General features: G+C 42.0%; 1 pseudogene; it reads right to left on the reverse strand.

Moving 5' to 3' along the window:
• Positions 1-1,142: 1,142 nt before the first annotated feature.
• NAIPP2 (NAIP pseudogene 2) overlaps positions 1,143-18,112 on the reverse strand; it is a 35,600-nt pseudogene continuing 18,630 nt past the window's right edge.

Below are 18,112 nucleotides of genomic sequence, written 5' to 3' on the forward strand. Positions count from 1 at the left end.
TCCATTGTGCTCCTCTAGGCAGACACCTGCAACACCTGTGCCATCTGCAATACCAGCTCCTGTAGCACATACACTCTGCCTCTGCAGCACCTCGTTCTGGCTGCACACTTCTTGGGCGGTGCCTAACTTCAGCAGCACCCAATGGTCAGCAGCGCACAGTACCCCCACATGAATGGCTTCCCTTGACATGCACAAGGTCCCTTCTCTGCAAAGTGCCCCAAGCCCAGCACCTTCTCCAGCTGCAACTCCACAGCCTCAGCAAACCTCTGTCTTTCACAGCTGTGTCCTCTCACACGAAGTCTGGATCTCAGCCCGGATCTCAGCCCTGAGCTTTCTTCTTTGAGTTGTTCTGTCTCAGCCTGGGGTGAAAAGCCCATATCGGCTGTTCCCTGCATCTGCCCAGGCTTCTCTTTATTCCTTACTACCCAATCCCCATTCCAATCCTCTGTTAATAACTCTTACGGACAGTCCCCAACTCATGATGACTTGACTTAGGATTTTTCTACTTTGCAATGGTGCAAAAGTGATCCGCATTCAGTAGAAACTGTTCCTCAAGTACTCATACGACCTCTATTTTTCACTTTCTGTACAGTATTCAATAAATTGCGTGAGATTTTCAATACTTTATTATAAAATAGGCTTTGTGTTTATGATTTTGCCCAACTGTAAGCTAATATAAGTGTTCTCAGCGTGTTTAAGGTAGGTCAGGTTAAGCGATGATGTTTGGTAGTTTAGGTATATTAAATGCATTTCTGACATACAATATTTTCTACTTACAATGGGTTTTTCAGGATATAACCCTGTTGTAAGTTGAGGAGCATCTTATTTTATTTATTTATTTATTTATTTGAAATGGAGTCTTGCTCTGTCACCCAGGCTGGAATGCAGTGGCACGATCTTGGCTCACTGCAACCTCTGCCTCCTGGGTTCAAGCAATTCTCCTGCCTCAGCCTCCCAAGTAGCTGAGACTACAGGTGCACACCACCATGCCTGGCTTTTTTTTTTTTTTTTTAATTTTTTTTTGTATTTTTAGTAGAGACAGGATTTCACCATGTTGGCCAGGCTGGTCTCGAACTCCTGACCTCAAGTGATCTGCCCACCTCGGCCTCCCAAAGTGCTGGAATTACAGGCGTGAGCCACTGCGTCAGGCCGAGCATCTGTATATTAAACTTTCCCCATTCAAATTTCTGTGTGGTTTCTGTCTCCTGACTGGATTCTGATATAATGCTTAACAACCTTTCTAATTACAAAGGTATTACATATAAAATCAGACAAGCAAGAAGACAATCCATCCCACCTTCTAGTACTCTTGCCCTCCAGAGGTAGCTCCAGTTAATATTTTAGTGCTAAACTAGATTTATTTTTGTTTTAAATAGAAAAATAATGCAGGCACGAAAGTAAAACAAAAAACAGTACAGAATGGGAGAGACTGAAAAGTAAGAATGGCTTCCAGGCCCACTTCCTAGAGGTACGCACTATTAACATTTTTAGATATAAACTTCCAGAAATTTTTTTCCAGTTTTATTTAGGTATAATTGACAAAATTATTTATATTTCAGTTGTACAACATGGATGTTCAACATGTTTTGGTGTACATATACTTTCTGATATTATAAATGGTTACCACAAGCAAGCTCAGTAACATATTCAGAAATTCTTAATGTAGCTAGCAATATAAGTGGTTTTGTTTTTTGTTTTGAGACAGACAGGGTCTTGCTCTGTTGCCCAGGCTGGAATGCAGTGGCGCCATCTTGGCTCACTGCAACCTCTGCCTCCCGGGTTCAAGCAAGTCTTGCGTCTCAGCCGCCCTAGTGGCTGGGACTACAGGCATGTGCCACCACACCTGGCTAATTTTTGTATTTTTAGTAGAGATGGGGTTTCACCATGCTGGCCAGGCTGGTCTCGAATTCCTCACCTCAAATGATTCGCCCGCCTCAGCCTCCCAAAGTGCTGGGATTACAGGTGTGAGCCACCGCACCCAGTCATAAGTGGTTTTCTAAACAAATGAGACCACACCATACATACTGTCCCTATATTTCATACTTGGGCAAGGGGAGGGGAGTTGACTTTTTTCTTAGTGAGAATAAAAATGAGGATAAAAGTATGGTTGTTTACCAACTTATAGTAGTATCATGAATTTCGAATGGTCTTCTGGCCGTTCAGAAAACTACTTAACTGGTAGGAACGAAATTCTGGACACTGACATTGATATAGACACTCATATCAAATATAATACTATGAAATACTATGATATGGAAATAATATGCAATCACTAGAGATAAAATATTTTCTACCCAAGTAGAGTGGATTCATAAGAAAATTCTAAATTATAGCATATGTTGAACTCTGAGAAGCCTCTGGAATGAAGTCATTTTTCCCTAACCCCTGTTTCCTCTTTATATTGGCAGTGGATAAATGGAAAGTAAGTTAACTCTACTGTACCAAAGCTAGTTCAATATAGAAAACAGGTTCTACAAGGATTAAGGAACATCTCTTGGCCCACAGAAGATTCATGTGGATCCTGTGTTAAACCCGTTTCATCCATGTATGAAAGTGATTCAACCGTTAAGTTAGCCATTTATTATATAAATTGAATACTTCTTCCATATTGTGGCTTTTAGATAGATTGGCAGACCTGTCCCCAACCCCTTCCCTGTTGACCATGGACAATGGAGGGTTTGCTGTATAAACCTGATTGAAGGGTTTGCCTTTAGCTGGGGTGGATTACTCAGGGACCTCAAAGGTATTGGTGATGATTTATTTCTTGAGCTTGGTGGTGAGTATGCAGGACTGTGTTTTGTTTTGTTTTGTTTTTTAGCAAGCCTTACACATTTTCTTTTGTATGCAATATTTAATAAAATAATTTTGGATAATTTGGTTTTTAGCATTAATCAACAACTTTTTTTACATCCTCAATATGCCCCAAGACAAATTATTGATTCAGCAGTTTTTAGCTGAATCTTTTATTTCTGAATGATTGGAGAGAACGGCAGTATCCATTTCTGGAGAATAGTTAAGTACTTAGATTGAGGATGTCTTTCTTTCATGACATTAAGCAATGCAATATCATCTGCATCCAAGAGCCAACTTAACATGTTCAGTCTAATGAGCCTTGGTAGTCGTAACACACATTGACTCAAAGACTTGACTGTTGTGGCCTGAGCTTTGATACACTCTGTGAAATGCCTGGAGATGTCCAACTCCTGCAAGTTTGGCATGTTGTCCAGTGCTTGAAAGAAATTTCTGTATCCTTCCTCTGTAATCTTGTGATTGATTGAAAGCTTTAGGTTCTCAAGTTTCTGGAAACCTCCACTGATTGCTACTTTGGCTACAAGAACAAAACATTCATGAAAATAGAATCATAAGGACTTCCATTTCAATAATGGTAGACAAGGTTATTTGAACCAGCCTCCTCTCCCACCACTACTGCTAGTAGGAAGTACTCAATATAATTTTGTTTTTTGAAATGGGGTCTTGCTATGTTAACACAGGCTGGTCTCTTTTTCTTTCTTTCTTTTTTTTTTTTTTTTTTTTTTTTTTGAGATGGAGTCTCGCTCTGTTACCCAGGCTGCAGTGCAGTGGCATGATCTCAGCTCACTGCAACCTCCGCCTCCCAGGTTCATGCCATTCTCCTGCCTCAGCCTCCCGAGTAGCTGGGACTACAGGCGCCCGCCACCATGCCCAGCTAATTTTTTGTATTTTTAGTAGAGACGGGGTTTCACTGTGTTAGCCAGGATGGTCTCGATCTCCTGACCTTGTGATCCACCCGCCTTGGCCTCCCAAAGTGCTGGGATTACAGGCGTGAGCCACCGCGCCTGGCCATCACAGGCTGGTCTCAAACTCCTGGACTCAAGTGATCCTCCTGCCTCAGCTTCCCAAGTAGGTGGGATTACAAGCACGTGTCACTGTGCCCAGCTTAATATAATATTTTGAAAATATCTCCTTAAAAACCCCAAAGAGCTGATGGGTTAATAAAGAACCACCTGGCAAAAATCTAAGGGAGAAGCAGAAACCAAAGAAGTACAGCCAAGCCTAAAGCACTGACGCCATTGTGCTGAGAGTTTCACCATCCTGGACAAATATGAGCTTCTCTTTTGGTCTCACAGGAGGTCACATGCCAAGGTACATCATGCCTACAAACCAGACTAAATTGGCAAGTCACAGTGGCTCACGCTTGTAATCCCAGCATTTTGGGAGGCCGAGGTGGGTAGATCACTTGAAGTCAGGAGTTCGAGACCAGGCTGGCCAACATGGTGAAACCCCATCTCTACTAAAAATACAAGAATCAGCCGGATATGGTGGTACATGCCTGTAATCCCAGCTACTCGGGAGGCTGAGGCAGGAGAATCAGCTTGAACCTGGGAGGTAGAGGTTGCAGTGAGCCAAAATCCCACCACTGCACTCCAGCCTGGGTGACAGAGCAAGACTCCGTCTAAAAAACAAAAAGAGAAAACAAAAAAAAAAAAATCCAGACTAAATTACAAGGGACTTCAAAGAGTGTAGCAATTATGTCTTCCCCTTTTATAGAGAAGGGGGTGTGACATTCCTAAAGCCATGTCATCCGACTGTCCACTGCTATGCCCTATTTCTGTTGCCCAGAAGGGACCCTCCTGTTTTTGAGACTAAGGGCTCTGAAGGAAATGGAAGCCGGGCACACCCTGTGTTCTCAATGAACACAGGCTGACTAGACTTTGGAATGGGTACCAAGCAGAGTTCTTGTTGTTTGGTTTAGGGGTTTTTAAAAAAAAAAAAATTTTTTTTTTTGAGACAGGGTGTCACTTGGTTGCCTAGGCTGGAGTGCAATGGTTCAGTTATAACTCACTGCAGCCTAGAATTTCTGGGCTCAAGCAATCCTCCCGCCTCAGCCTCCTGAGTCCTAGCTACTCAGGACTAGCCACCGTGCTTGGCTAATTTTTCAATTTTTTATGGAGACAAGGTCTTGCTATGTTGCCCAATCTTGTCTCAAACTCCTGGCCTCAAGCAGTCCTTCTATCTTGGCCTCCCAACGTGTTGGGATTACAGGCATGAGCCACCATGCCCAGCCTTGTTTTTAATTGCTAAACCTCTTTTTTTTTCTAACTTGGGCAAAGGTTAAGTTTGGTTTCAATCTAGAATCCATGGCTGTAGCTTGACTGAGGTTAAACAACAGAGGTACTGAGAAAATGTCTTCAGCTATGTCCTGAATAGGTATCTTCAGTAACATTCAAGAGATATTTCTCATTCCCCCACATGAAAGACACTTCTGGAGGGACTTGAAGAAAGACTCAGGTCTTTCACATCCATTCCCTTCTTTCCCCTGTTTCAGCATAACTCCCACTTCATATTGTGTGATTAGCCGGTTCTGTGATGTGTCTGAATGCTGTCTCCTACAGGTAAAGTTTAAGCATTACTGACTATAGGCAAACAATGGCCTCTCAGCTGTCCATCAGAAGAAGCTACAGAAAAGTAAGTTTTCTTTATTCAGTCAACAAATATTTACTGAGTTCCCACTATAGGCCAGGCATACTCTGCTGGGCGCCGGGAAGAGAAAACACCTGCTCTCAGGAGGGAGAGCGACAGGGGTTACTGGCTCAAATCTGTGTGTGAGATTGAAGTTCTAAGGAAGGCTTTGACCTAATGTAGTGAGAAGAATAAAACACAAATAATTTATAGTAAATGAGGATGAGAGAGACCACAAAATTTAATGTTATTAAATTCTTCCTCATAAGGAGGAAGAAACAAGGCCTTTAAGAAAAACGTTGTAAGTTGTCATTGTTTTTTGTTTTTTGTTTTTTTTTTTGAGACGGAGTCTCGTTCTGTTGCCCAGGCTGGAGTGCAGTGGCATGATCTTGGCTCACTTCAAGCTCCACCTCCCGGGTTCACACCATTCTCCTGCCTCAGCCTCCCGAGTAGCTGGGACTACAGGTGCCCGCCATCACGCCTGGCTAATTTTTTGTATTTTTAGTAGAGACAGGGTTTCACCATGTTAGCCAGGATGGTCTCGATCTCCTGACCTCGTGATCCATCCGCCTCGGCCTCCCAAAGTGCTGGGATTACAAGCTTGAGCCACCGCTCCCAGCTGTTTTAAATAACGTAAAATAACAGTGCTGAGCAGTAAGAAAATGAGATCCAGCCCTTGTAACACACCCGACAAAGCCTCTCCAATTGGGCTTTTACTTTCCTCTCCAGTCTTCTTCTCACAACTCACTCCTGCCTCTTGCTCCAGACATTCCTTTTTTTCCCCCAAGTTCTTCAAATATATCTGGTTCTCTTTAACTCCAGGCTATGACACAAGTGATTACCTCTGTTTGAAATGATGTCTCAATTCCTCCTCTACCAACTATGCCTGGGCCATTCTCCCTTCAGGTCTCGACAGAAATCTCAGTTCCTCAGGCCAGGCACTGTGGCTCACTTGAGGTCAGGAGTTCGAGACTAGCCTGGCCAACATGGTGAAACCCTGTGTTTACTAAAAATACAAAATTAGCCAGGTGTGGTGGCGTTCACCTGTAATCCTAGCTACTTGGGAGGCTGAGGCAGGAGAATCGCTTGAACCCAGGAGGCAGAGTTTGCAGTGACCCGAGATCGTGCCATTGTACTCCAGCCTGGGCAACACGAGCGAAACTCTGTCTCAAAAAAAAAAAAAAGAAGAAAATAAGAAAATAAAATTCAGTGAGCAGTACACATGATTTTTGTACTTTTCTGTGTGTATATTCATCTTCAGTTTTAAAAAGGAGTACTTAGGAGAGTATGTGGCCAGGTGTCTAAAACACCAGGTGGCAAGAACGCAGATTTGAGGGCTTGTATATCCACAAATGGGAGACCTTTTTGTACTTCCAAATCTGACCAGAATGCGCCTAAATCCACAGAAGGACACTAGAAGGAACAGTATGATAGTGAAAATGAGGAAGCGGGTTGAAAATTTCTAGAGGGGCAAATGTTTACATAGACATGTTGCAGCAGAAAGCTTGGCTATACCACTGGCTTCCATGCAAGCTGAAACACTAGCTCACCAATTTCCACCACGCTGTCATCATTCAAAGTCTTGAAAAATGAGAGGACTCGGAGACAATGAAGCTGCTGACACTGCTGGATGATCAGTTTGGCCACTCGATAAATTCCATCCCCAGTAGGAAGGATCAATTCTTCCAGGTTACTAAGAGAACCTAAAATGTAGGCTGTCAGAAAAGACCAAAAAGCTATTCTCTTTGTACTTTTTGTTCCTATGCAACAGTAATCTGAAAATCATGTATGGTCTAAACATCATGCACAGTCCAGGAAGCAAGAGAAGGGCCAGCACATGCTTCCGTCTTCCTCGCTCCTCCAGACAATTCCTCCACCACACCCTACCAACCAATCTCTCCTGCACTAAAGTCCAGGCTGCCAATTAAATCTCCATTCCTCGTTTAGAATGAAGCTTTTCCTGACCTGCAGGTTCCTTTCCCAGCTCTGCAATGCCTTCAGCCACCTCCTTTCCCATTCCACCTCCCGCTGTCATGCTCAGTGATTCTGCACCGGCCTCCTGGCCCTAAAGCCTCACAGTCCACCACTCTTAGAACCTTCCTTTTCACTTCGACTCCTTCCTAGCATGGCACACGATAGATCATTTGATCATTAGAAAGGTAACTTCTGAGGCCTCACACATGGAAATATATTGAATAATTTCTAGCATAAATCAATGTCCCAGGCTTATCATTTTCTTTCCCTGTCTCAGTTCTTGAATCAGCCAATTTTGCAAGGACCCTGGTTCCTTTACGGAAGGACAGGATTTAGAAATCAGTATCTAGGCACTTGGTGTGTTCATTATTACTGCAGTGCCTTCTAGTCTCTCCATTGAGCTGAGAAATATGTATGTGTGTATCTATAGACATGTGGAGATCAATGTATATATATGGAGATCTCTATGTATGTTCATAGGTTAGAAAAAACCATGAGGCCAGACCAATATTTCCAATTCTAATCCAACACCTCAAAGCTCTTTCTAGCCTCACCTTTCAATATTTGTAAGTTCCTTTTCCAACTGTGAGGAAACGTGGCTCTCATTATACTCACTGTTTTGTTCGTTTGTTTGTTTTTGAGACAGAGTCTTGCTCTGCCACCCAGGCTGGAGTACAGTGACCTGATCTTGGCTCACTGCAATCTCTGCCTCCGAGGTTCGAGAGATTCTCCTGCCTCAGCCTCCCAAGTAGCTGGGACTACAGGCATGTGCCACCACGCCCAGCAAATTTTTGTATTTTTTAGTAGAGATGGGGTTTCACCATGTTGGCCAGGCTGGTCTTGAACTCCTGACCTCAGGTGATCCACCCACCTCGGCCTCCCAAAGTGCTGGGATTACAGGTGTGAGCCACTGCATCTGGCTATACTCACTGTATTATTTGCTTAATCAACCTATGATGTATGCCAGCCATCCCCTTGGCCCTGATCCTACCTCTGCCACCTCAGCCCCCACCCACCTAGCTGCCTCCAAGGAAGGGAAGAGGAGGATCCTGGCAATCTTTATGTACGCTTATGTTTGAGAAGCACTTTGAATAGCACAGCTCTACAGTCCCTATCTCCACTGCCTCCCTTTATTTTTTTTTTTTCCTGTTAGAATGTTTTCCATGAGCATACATTACTTTCATAATCGTTTTTTAAAAATCAAAAAGTATTTAAATTCTATAGCTATCATTTTATGAAATACACGTTTTCACGTATTGAGTTTTCCTAACCTTAAAAGATAGATTTTTACCTATATTCTAGTAACCTTTGAAACTATGAGGTCTTATATTTGGAACAGATACCTGACAATTATATTGCATAGTGCTATAATGACCAAATATGTACTCTAAGAAGTCATTCTGCTTTGAATGAGATCAAGTCTGCAGGTAAAACTGTAGTGAAGGCATTTGGTGGGTAGAAGTTGAGCATGACTATCACTTCGTTCTGGTAAGCAAGGGTAGCTAATGCATATCTTGCTTCCTTGTGGCTAATTCAGAATAGGAGAAAAAGGATTCTGGGCAGAAAGAGAATAAGAATACGTAAAAAGCACTATTTTGTAAACATACCAAATTTTTCTGATGTTTCCTCATCAGGAAATTGCTGGCCTTCAAGATTTAATATCTTCAGAGAAATAAAATTTGGCAAACTGGCAACTATGAAAGGGAAAATAAAAATTTAGTTATGTCAGCTACATCTCTCACAGCAAAGTGTAACATCTTTAAAATGAAGAAATTAGAAATTAATGTAATAATTCAGATTGAATTCATATGACTAAGTAGATAAAACAAATTTTTGCTCAGAAAATAATTCTGATAACTAGAAATGTTGTTAAAATTCTAGAAATTTCAAATCCAACTGAGCGTAAAGGTAAAAAAGAAAATTCTGGAAACACCTATACTTTATTATTTGAGAAACAATTTTTCTTTTCTTTCTTTCTTTTTTTAAAGAGACAAGGTCTGTGTCACCCAGGCTGGAGTGCAGTGATACCATCACAGCTCGCTGCAGCTTCAACCTTCTGGGCTCAAGTAATCTTCCTGCCTTAGCTTCCCTAGTAGCTGGGACTATAGGTACCACTGTGCCCGACTGATTTTTTTAAAGCTTTTTAGAGGTGGAGGGCTTGTTATGTTGCCCAGACTGGTCTCAAACCCCTGACCTCAAGCAAGCCTCCTGCCTCAGCTTCCCAAAGTGCTGGGATTACAGGCATGAGCCACCACACCCAGCCTCAAAATATGGCCCTTTTTAAAGAGTGCTTAATATGACTCTGTGTCCATAGAAACATTTTAAACCACCATTGTAATATTATAACTCTTACCAAATGGGACGGCTTGAAAAAATGAATCCGAAAACTTAATTTCTGTGAGTTTCTTACAGGAAACAAGCATAGTCATGAGAGACCCAAAATCCGAAAAGAAGTTACACTTCAGATGGAAAACATGAAGGTTTGGAGAATTTTGAATTAATTTTACTGTAAAAGATCAAGGATTTTCAGAAATTAGAAAATACTGCAAATTTCTATCAAAATTAGCCAAGTAGTTTATTATTTTGTTTCAATAATACTTAATTAAAACCAGGTACCACGATCTCATGATCTAAGAATCAGGTCACTGGGCTTGGGTTCAGGTTCTGCAACTAGCAAGTAATGTGAATTTTGACACATTATTGACCCTCTCTGGGTAACAGTTTTCTCTTCTATAAAATACAGGCATTGACTCAGTAGCATCACCTTCAGCTTTAACACCTAATAACTCTAAGTTTGTACATGACATTTACACAATAAGAATACAAAGAGGCCAGGTGCTGTGGCTCATGCCTGTAATCCCAGCACTTTGGGAGGCCGAGGCAGGTGGATCATCTGAGCTCAGGAGCTCGAGACCAGCCTGGCCAACATGGTGAAACCCTGTCTCTACTAAAAATACAAACATTTGCCAGGCGTGGGTGGCAGGCAGCTGTAATCCCAGCTACTCGGGAGGCCGAGGCAGGAGAATCGCTTGAACCCAGGAGGCAGAGGTTGCAGTGAGTGGATATTGCGCCACCAAACTCCAGCCTGGGCAACAGAGCAAGACTGCATCTCCAAAAAAAAAAAAAAAAAAAAGAATACTATACAAAGAAACAGCTGGGCATAGTGGCTCACGCCTGTAATCCTAGTACTTTGGGAGGCTGAGGTGGGCGGATCACCTGAGGTCAGGAGTTTGAGACTGGCCTGGCCAACATGGTGAAACCCCGTCTCTACTAAAAATATTAAAAAATTAGCCGGGCATGGTGATGGGCGCCTGTAATCCCAGCTACTTGGGAGGCTGAGGCAGGAGAATTGCTTGAACCCAGGAGACGGAGGTTGCAGTGAGCTGACAACGGTGCCACTGCACTCCAGCCTGGGTGACAGATTGAGACTCTGTCTCAAAAAAAAAAAAGAAACATAAAAGGAATGACAACTCTGAAGCAAAACCTAAATTTGTTGCAAAATTTGCTGACAAATATAACTACCACCTCCAGCTTCGGTGTATATATGTATGCACACACACACACACACACATATATATATATATATATTTTTTTTTTTTTTTTGAGACAGGGTCTTGCTCTATCACCTAGGCTGGAGTGCAGTGGCATGATCATAGCTTATTGCAAGCTTGAACTTCTGGACTCAAGTGATCCTACCAGCCTCCTGAGTAGCTAGGGACTATAGGTGCACACCATCATACTTGGCTAATTTTTTATTTTTTTAGTAGAGACGATGTCTTGCTATATTGCCCAGCCTGGTGCTGAACTCCTGCTCTCAGGCGATCCTCCCGCCTCGGCCACCCAAAGTGCTAAGATTACAGGTGTGAGTCACTGTGCCTGGCCAACAATGAAGCTTTTGCATGCAAGTCTTTATGTCAATTCCATAGAGTTGTATATTTCTTCAATCTTTAGTGTTCAGTGTTTACTAAGTTAAGGAATGATGGTGCCTAAGTCATTTAGCTAAATGATGTATTTAAGAAAGATGGCTGCACCATTTTCCATGAACTATTAGGATAGGCTGGTGAGAAACAGGGAAATACTTCCAATGACTACGGATTAGCAGATTTCCTTCCTGCTGAGCTGCCAGATCTGTAAGTTGCAATGTAAGACCAGCCTAACCAAAAACAAAATAAAATAACCCTACAAATTATTTTGGAGTGGCAACATTATATTAGGGATTTCTTTCTTTTTTTTTTTTTTTTTTTCTGAGATGGAGTTTTGCTCTTGTTCCCCATGGAGTTTTGCTCTTGTTCCCCATGGAGTTTTACTCTTGTTCCCCAGGCTGGAGTACAATGGCGCGATCTCGGCTCACATTGCAATCTCTGCCTCCCAGGTTCAGGTAATTCTCCTGCTTCAGCCTCTCAAGTAGCTGGGATTACAGGCATATGCCACCATGCCAGCAAATTTTTGCATTTTTAGTAGAGGCAGGGTTTCACCATGTTGGTCAGGCTGGTCTCGAACTCCTGACCTCAGGTGATCTGCCCTTCTCGGCCTCCCAAAGTGCTGGGATTACAGGTGTGAGTCACCAGGCCCGGCCTATATTAGGGATTAAGAACTCAGATTTTGGAGTCAAAATTCCTGTATTTGAGTCACAGATATACATTTCCTTAGCTGGATATTACGAATTACTTTATCTCTTTATGTCTCAGTTTTCCCAGCTACAAAATAGCATTAATAATAGTACTTTACTTTGGCCAGGCACGGTGGCTCATGCCTGTAATCCCAGCACTTTGGGAGGCCGAGGCGGGAAGATCATGAGGTCAGGAGATCGAGACCATCCTGGCTAACACGGTGAAACGCCGTCTCTACTAAAAATACAAAAAATTAGCTGGGCGTGGTGGCAGGCACCTGTAGTCCCAGCTACTTGGGAGGCTGAGGCAGGAGAATGGTGAACCTGAGAGGAGGAGCTTGCAGTGAGCCGAGATCGTGCCACTGCACTCCAGCCTGGGCGACAGCGCGAGACTGTCTCAAAAAAAAAAAAAAAATAATAATAATAATAATAATAATAGTACTTTACTTCATAGAGTGGGTATGAAGACTGAGTTCATATTTGTGAAGTGCTTAGAATACTTCCTAGTGTGTAGTAAAGGCTCAATAATTACAAACAGCACTCTGCTTTCTTAATGAGAAAGAGTGCTATTCCTCACAATTTACCATGGATACAGGCTACACCCTTAGAACCACAGGCACTTTAACTCTTAAATAAATTATTGGCCAAGTAGCTTTTCCAACTTACGTAAAAACAAGTATATTAAAGTGCCATCCTTACCTAGTTTGGAAGGATCATACTCAGCTGAAATTTGGATCAATAATTTCTCCATATGGTGGAAGTTTGGAAATTCTTCAGGAATGACTGAAAAAACATTTATATTGCCCTCCAGATCCACAGACAGTTCTTTCAGGCACAGGAACTTATCCAGATTAGGAAAGATTTGGTCTGGAAAGCAGCACAGTTTCCCATTATTAATCTAAAGAGTTCTGAATGGACATTTTAAAACTGTCATTTTGATTCATCCAGCTATTTTCACATGCAAACCTTCCACATACCATAAAACATTCTTTTTTTTTTTTAAAGAATACATATATGAAGATATTGCTTTTTGCAGCTTATGCACTGTATGGGAAGCCCTGTGCTACTCTTCAGACTCACAAAAAGAAATACAGCATCTCGGCTAGGCGCAGTGGCTCATGCCTGTAATCCCAGCACTTTGGGAGGCTGAGGCGGGCGGATCACGAGGTCAGGAGTTTGAGACCAGTCTGGCCAACATAGTGAAACCCCGTCTCTACTAAAAATACAAAAAAAAAATTAGCTGGGTATGGTGGTGTGCATCTGTAATCCCAGCTACTCAGGAGGCTGAGGCAGGAGAATCACATAAACCTGGGAGACGGAGGTTGCAGTGAGCCAAGATCGCGCCATTGCACTCCAGCCCAGGCTACAGTGTGAGACTCCGTCTCAAAAAAAAAAGAAGAGAAAAGAAATATAGCATCTCTTCAACAAACGGTTGGGGACAACTGGATTTGCACATGCGAAAGAATGAAGTTGGATTCCTATCCCTCACCATGTAAAAAAAATCAACTCAAAATGGATCAACGACCTAAATATAAAAGCTGAAATCACACAACTCTTAGAAAAAACATAGGAGTTAATCTTCATGACCTTGGATTTGGCAATGGATTCTTAGATAGGACACCAAAAGGACCAGCAATAAAAGAAAAAAACAGATAAATTGGACTTCGTCAAAATTTAAAACTTTCGTGCACAAAGGACATTATAAATAAAGTAAAATGACAACCTATGGAATGGGAAAAATATTTTCAAACTGTGTATCTGATAACAGGTTGAAATCCAGAATATACAAATAACTCTTACAATGCAACAAAAACAACAACAATTTTTAAATGAGCAAACATATTTTTTCAAAAAGTGAAAAGATACTTAACATCATTTTCATGATTTGCATTAGAGAAATGCAAATCAAAACCACAATGAGATACCACTTCACAACTACTAGAACGGCTTTATGATAATCACAAAACAAAATGGGCTGGGTGAGGTGGCTCATACCTGTAATCCCAGCACTTTGGAAGGCCAAGGTGGGTGGATCATTTGAGCCCAGGAGTTCAAGACCAGACTAGGGGCCAGGCACGGTGGCTCATGCCTGTAATCCCAGCACTTTGGGAGGCCGAGGTGGGTGGATCACCTGAGGTCAGGAGTTCAAGACCAGCCTGGCCAACATGGTGAAACCCCATCTCTACTAAAAATACAAAAATTAGCTGGGTGTGGTGGCGGGAGCTTGTAATCCCAGCTACTTGGGAGGCTGAGGCAAGAGAATGGCGTGAACCCAGGAGGCAGAGCTTGCAGTGAGCCGAGATTGCGCCACTGCACTCCAGCCTGGGGGACAGAGCGAGGCTCCATCTCAAAAAAAAAAAAGAAAGAAAAAGAAAAAAGACCAGACTAGGCAACATAGCAAGAATCTGTCTCTACAAAAAATAAAAAATTATCCAGGCACGGTGGTGCATGCTGGTAGTCTCAGCTACTCAGGAGGCTGAGGCAGGAGGATCACCTGAGCTCAAGAGGTTGAGGCTGCAGTGAGCCATGATTGCACCACAGCACTCCAGCTTGGGCAATAGAGCAAGACACTGTCTGAAAAACAACAATGAAAACAAAAACAGGTCGGGCACTGTGGCTCATGCCTGTAATCCTAGCACTTCGGGAGGCCAAGGTGGCTGGACTGCCTGAGCTCAGGAGTTCGAGACCGGCTTGGGCAACATGGCGAAACCCCATCTCTACTAAAAATACAAAAGTTAGCCAGGTATGGTGGTGCACACCTGTAGTCCCAGCTACTCAGGAGGCTGAGACAGGAGAATTGCTTGAACCCGAGAGGTGGAGGTTGCAGTGAGCCAAGATCTCGCCACTGCACTCCAGCCTGGGTGACAGAATTAGACTCTGTCTCCACAAAAACAAAAATTAACAAGTGCTGAAGAGGATGTGGAGTAATTGGAACCTTTGTACATGGATAGTGGGAATGTAAGATGGTGCAGCTACTGTGCAAGTTCCTCAAAAAGTTAAACATAGAACTACCATATGAATCAGCAATTCTGCTTCTAGGTATATACCCAAAATGATTAAAAGCAAGAACTTAAACCGATACTTATAATGCCAGTGTTCATTGCAGCATTATTTATGATAGCCAGAAGGTAGAAACAACCCAAGTGTCTCTCAGCAGCAGAATGGATAAACAAAATGTACTATATACATACCATGGAATATTAGCTATAAAAAGGATGAAGTTCCTTTTCAAAGTTGATACATAATAATTGTACATATTTATGGAGTACATGTGAAGGAATGAAATTCCAATATAGGCTACAACATGATGTACCTTGAACAGTATGCAAAGTGAAATAAGCCAGACAAGTGATAATGCTTATAAACAATATCTAGAAGAGGCAAATTCATAGAGACAGAAAATAGAAGAGAAGTTATCAGGGGCTGGTGGGAGGGAAGATTTTTTTTTTTTTTTTTTTTTTTGAGACGGAGTCTCACTCGGTAGCCCAAGCTGGAGTGCAGTGGCATGATCTGGGCTCACTGCAACCTCTGCCTCCCAGGCTTAAGTGATTCTCATGCCTCAGCCTCCCGAATAGCTGGGACTACAGGCGCATGCCACCACGCCCAGCTAATTTTTTGTATTTTAGTAGAGATGTGGTTTCACCATGTTGCCCAGGGTGGTCTCAAACTCCTGAGCTCTGGCGATCCACCCTCTTCGGCCTCCCAAAGTGCTGGGATTACAGGCGTGAGCCCCCGCGCCCGGCCCAATTTATTGTTTAATTGGGATGATGAAAAGGTTCTGGAGATGGATAGTGGTGATGGTTGTACAACATAGTGAATGCTTAATGCCACTGAGTTGTACACTTAAAATGATTAAAATGTAAGCTTTGTTACATGTATTTTACCATAATAAAACAGTACTTGAAAAAAGATGAAAAATTTTCTAAATTTGGTAAATGTCAACCCACACATTCCAAAAAAGTTCAGTGCACCTCAAGCAAGATACATACAAAGCAAAGCACACCTAGGCATATAACAGTCAAACTGCTTAAGACCAAAGCAATACTAGCAACAATTAGAAAATGAAAAAATATTTTTAATGACATTTACAATACTTTCAAAAGATATGAGTATCTAGGAATAAATTTAATGAAAGATGGGTTAAGTCTACACTGAAAACTATCAAATAGTGCTTAGAGGAGTTAAGACACAAATAGATGAAGATATTATTTCCCATTAATTTATTTATTTCCCAGGGACTACAGGCCTTTCTTCCTTTAGGCAGCTAGGGTGAAGGTAATTTCTAAGCATCATCTTACATATAGCTAATTCTTTTACTAATAACAGATAATTCATGTCTTTATTAAGAACCTTCAATAATTTAATATAAATATTTTATTCATTTTGTCTGAGTTATTTGAAAACCATTCTATTATTCAAGGACTTTTCACTAATTCATGCTACTGTCAAAAAAAATTAGTGAAGGTTTATTTTATATCTGTTCTATCAATGAGCATGCATGCTTTCATGGCCTCAGAAGTTTTCAACCACTTAAAGTAAGAAAAAGAAATTATACATCAGAATAGTCATCCAAAATATATACAGGTATACCTTGTGACTGGATTGTCCCTGAGACTTCAAGAGATTCCAGGGAAGGCAGGGTGAGAAGCAGTTCCTGTTCGGCTGCGCTGAGTTCCAACTTGCTTATGGAGCACTTGGTGACAGAGGCCTTAGACAGCTCAAGAGCTGGGCGGATGCTTTCTATAAAGCCTCTGCTGTGGTTTAAATGGAGTTCGATGCGCTGTGAAGCTGAGAAAACTGTCATTAGAATCTCAAGCATATCCTGGCCTACAACATCAATATCATTCACATCGACTTCTAGACAGGGAATCTTGTACTGCTTTGGAGAAAGTTTCCAATAGCCAGTACTAAGGTCTGGTGATGCCCTGCGCTGCATATCCATATAGCTCTTTACATTATCCTCTTTTTCAGCTAAATTTCGCTCCCATTCATTCATAGGTTCAAAGGCAGAAGCATAGTCCTGATCTATAGTTGGCACCTGTGATTTGTCAAAACATGTTTCCAGAACTGAAAAATGTGCTCTGGGTGATGTCTTATTTCCTCGTATTGGGAAGTGGATGCTCCTCAACAATGACAAGCTTTCTGGGTGGTCGAAAAAGTACTGTAAGTTAAGCGCACCCAAAGTCAGTGTTCTCCCTTGAAGGAATTGCAAAACAAATGGAGAACACGCAGCAACAGTGTTGCTTTGATAAGCAGTTTTCAGGGCAAGAACCAGTAAATGTTCTGAAACCATTGAAAAGTAAGCTTGTGGACAAATTTGCCACAATCCCCTAAGTAACTGCATCTGCAGTGAAATTTCTGGCTGGTGCTTTAAGTAGTCATCATTTTCAGATATATTCTCCAATGACTCTTTGTTATCCACTAAATGGAGCAAATGAGACACAATTTTGGGCCCTGCTTTTGTTGAAGGGAGGCTGGAGACATAGTTCAAAAAATTGTTGTAGGCGCTTACAGTCATCATGGGTGAGTTGATTTGTTTCAAATGATACAGTCCCAAATCTTGATGTTCCTGCCTATCTGAATCCAGGAGTTCAATCAGCCTCATCCCCGCAAGAAATTCTTGGAAGGCAGGACTTAAAAACCGGTAGAATGGTCTTAGTCTCTGGGCTGTAAATTTGCTCATCAAGCACATGGTTAGATCTTCATCTTCATCAACCCCTGCTTCTGCGAGATCATCATCATTAAACTCAAAGCAACATGAAAAAAACCCTTTCAAGGCCAGCTCACCACAGGAGGACACAGTTGCTTTGAGAATTTCAGCTGTCGCTTTGTTCCTTAAGGAAAGGCGTTCCATATAGGACTTGAAAACAGCCACATCATCAAAGGATGGGTCAAAAGGATACTGAAACCAATGAGCACAGATCGCCGCCACAAAGAGAGGAGTTTTCTGTATCTTCTGCAAACTTTGGTTCTTTCCAAAGTAAACCATAAACTTTCGCAGACGAGTCATATTATGTGAAAAGAGCTTCCGTAATATACAGACAGTATTATAAAAGGGAAATGCTTTGATCTCTAGAATGGTCTCTAGGT

Source organism: Homo sapiens, chromosome 5 (assembly GCF_000001405.40).
Source record: "Homo sapiens chromosome 5, GRCh38.p14 Primary Assembly".
NCBI classification, from domain to species: Eukaryota; Metazoa; Chordata; class Mammalia; order Primates; family Hominidae; genus Homo; species Homo sapiens.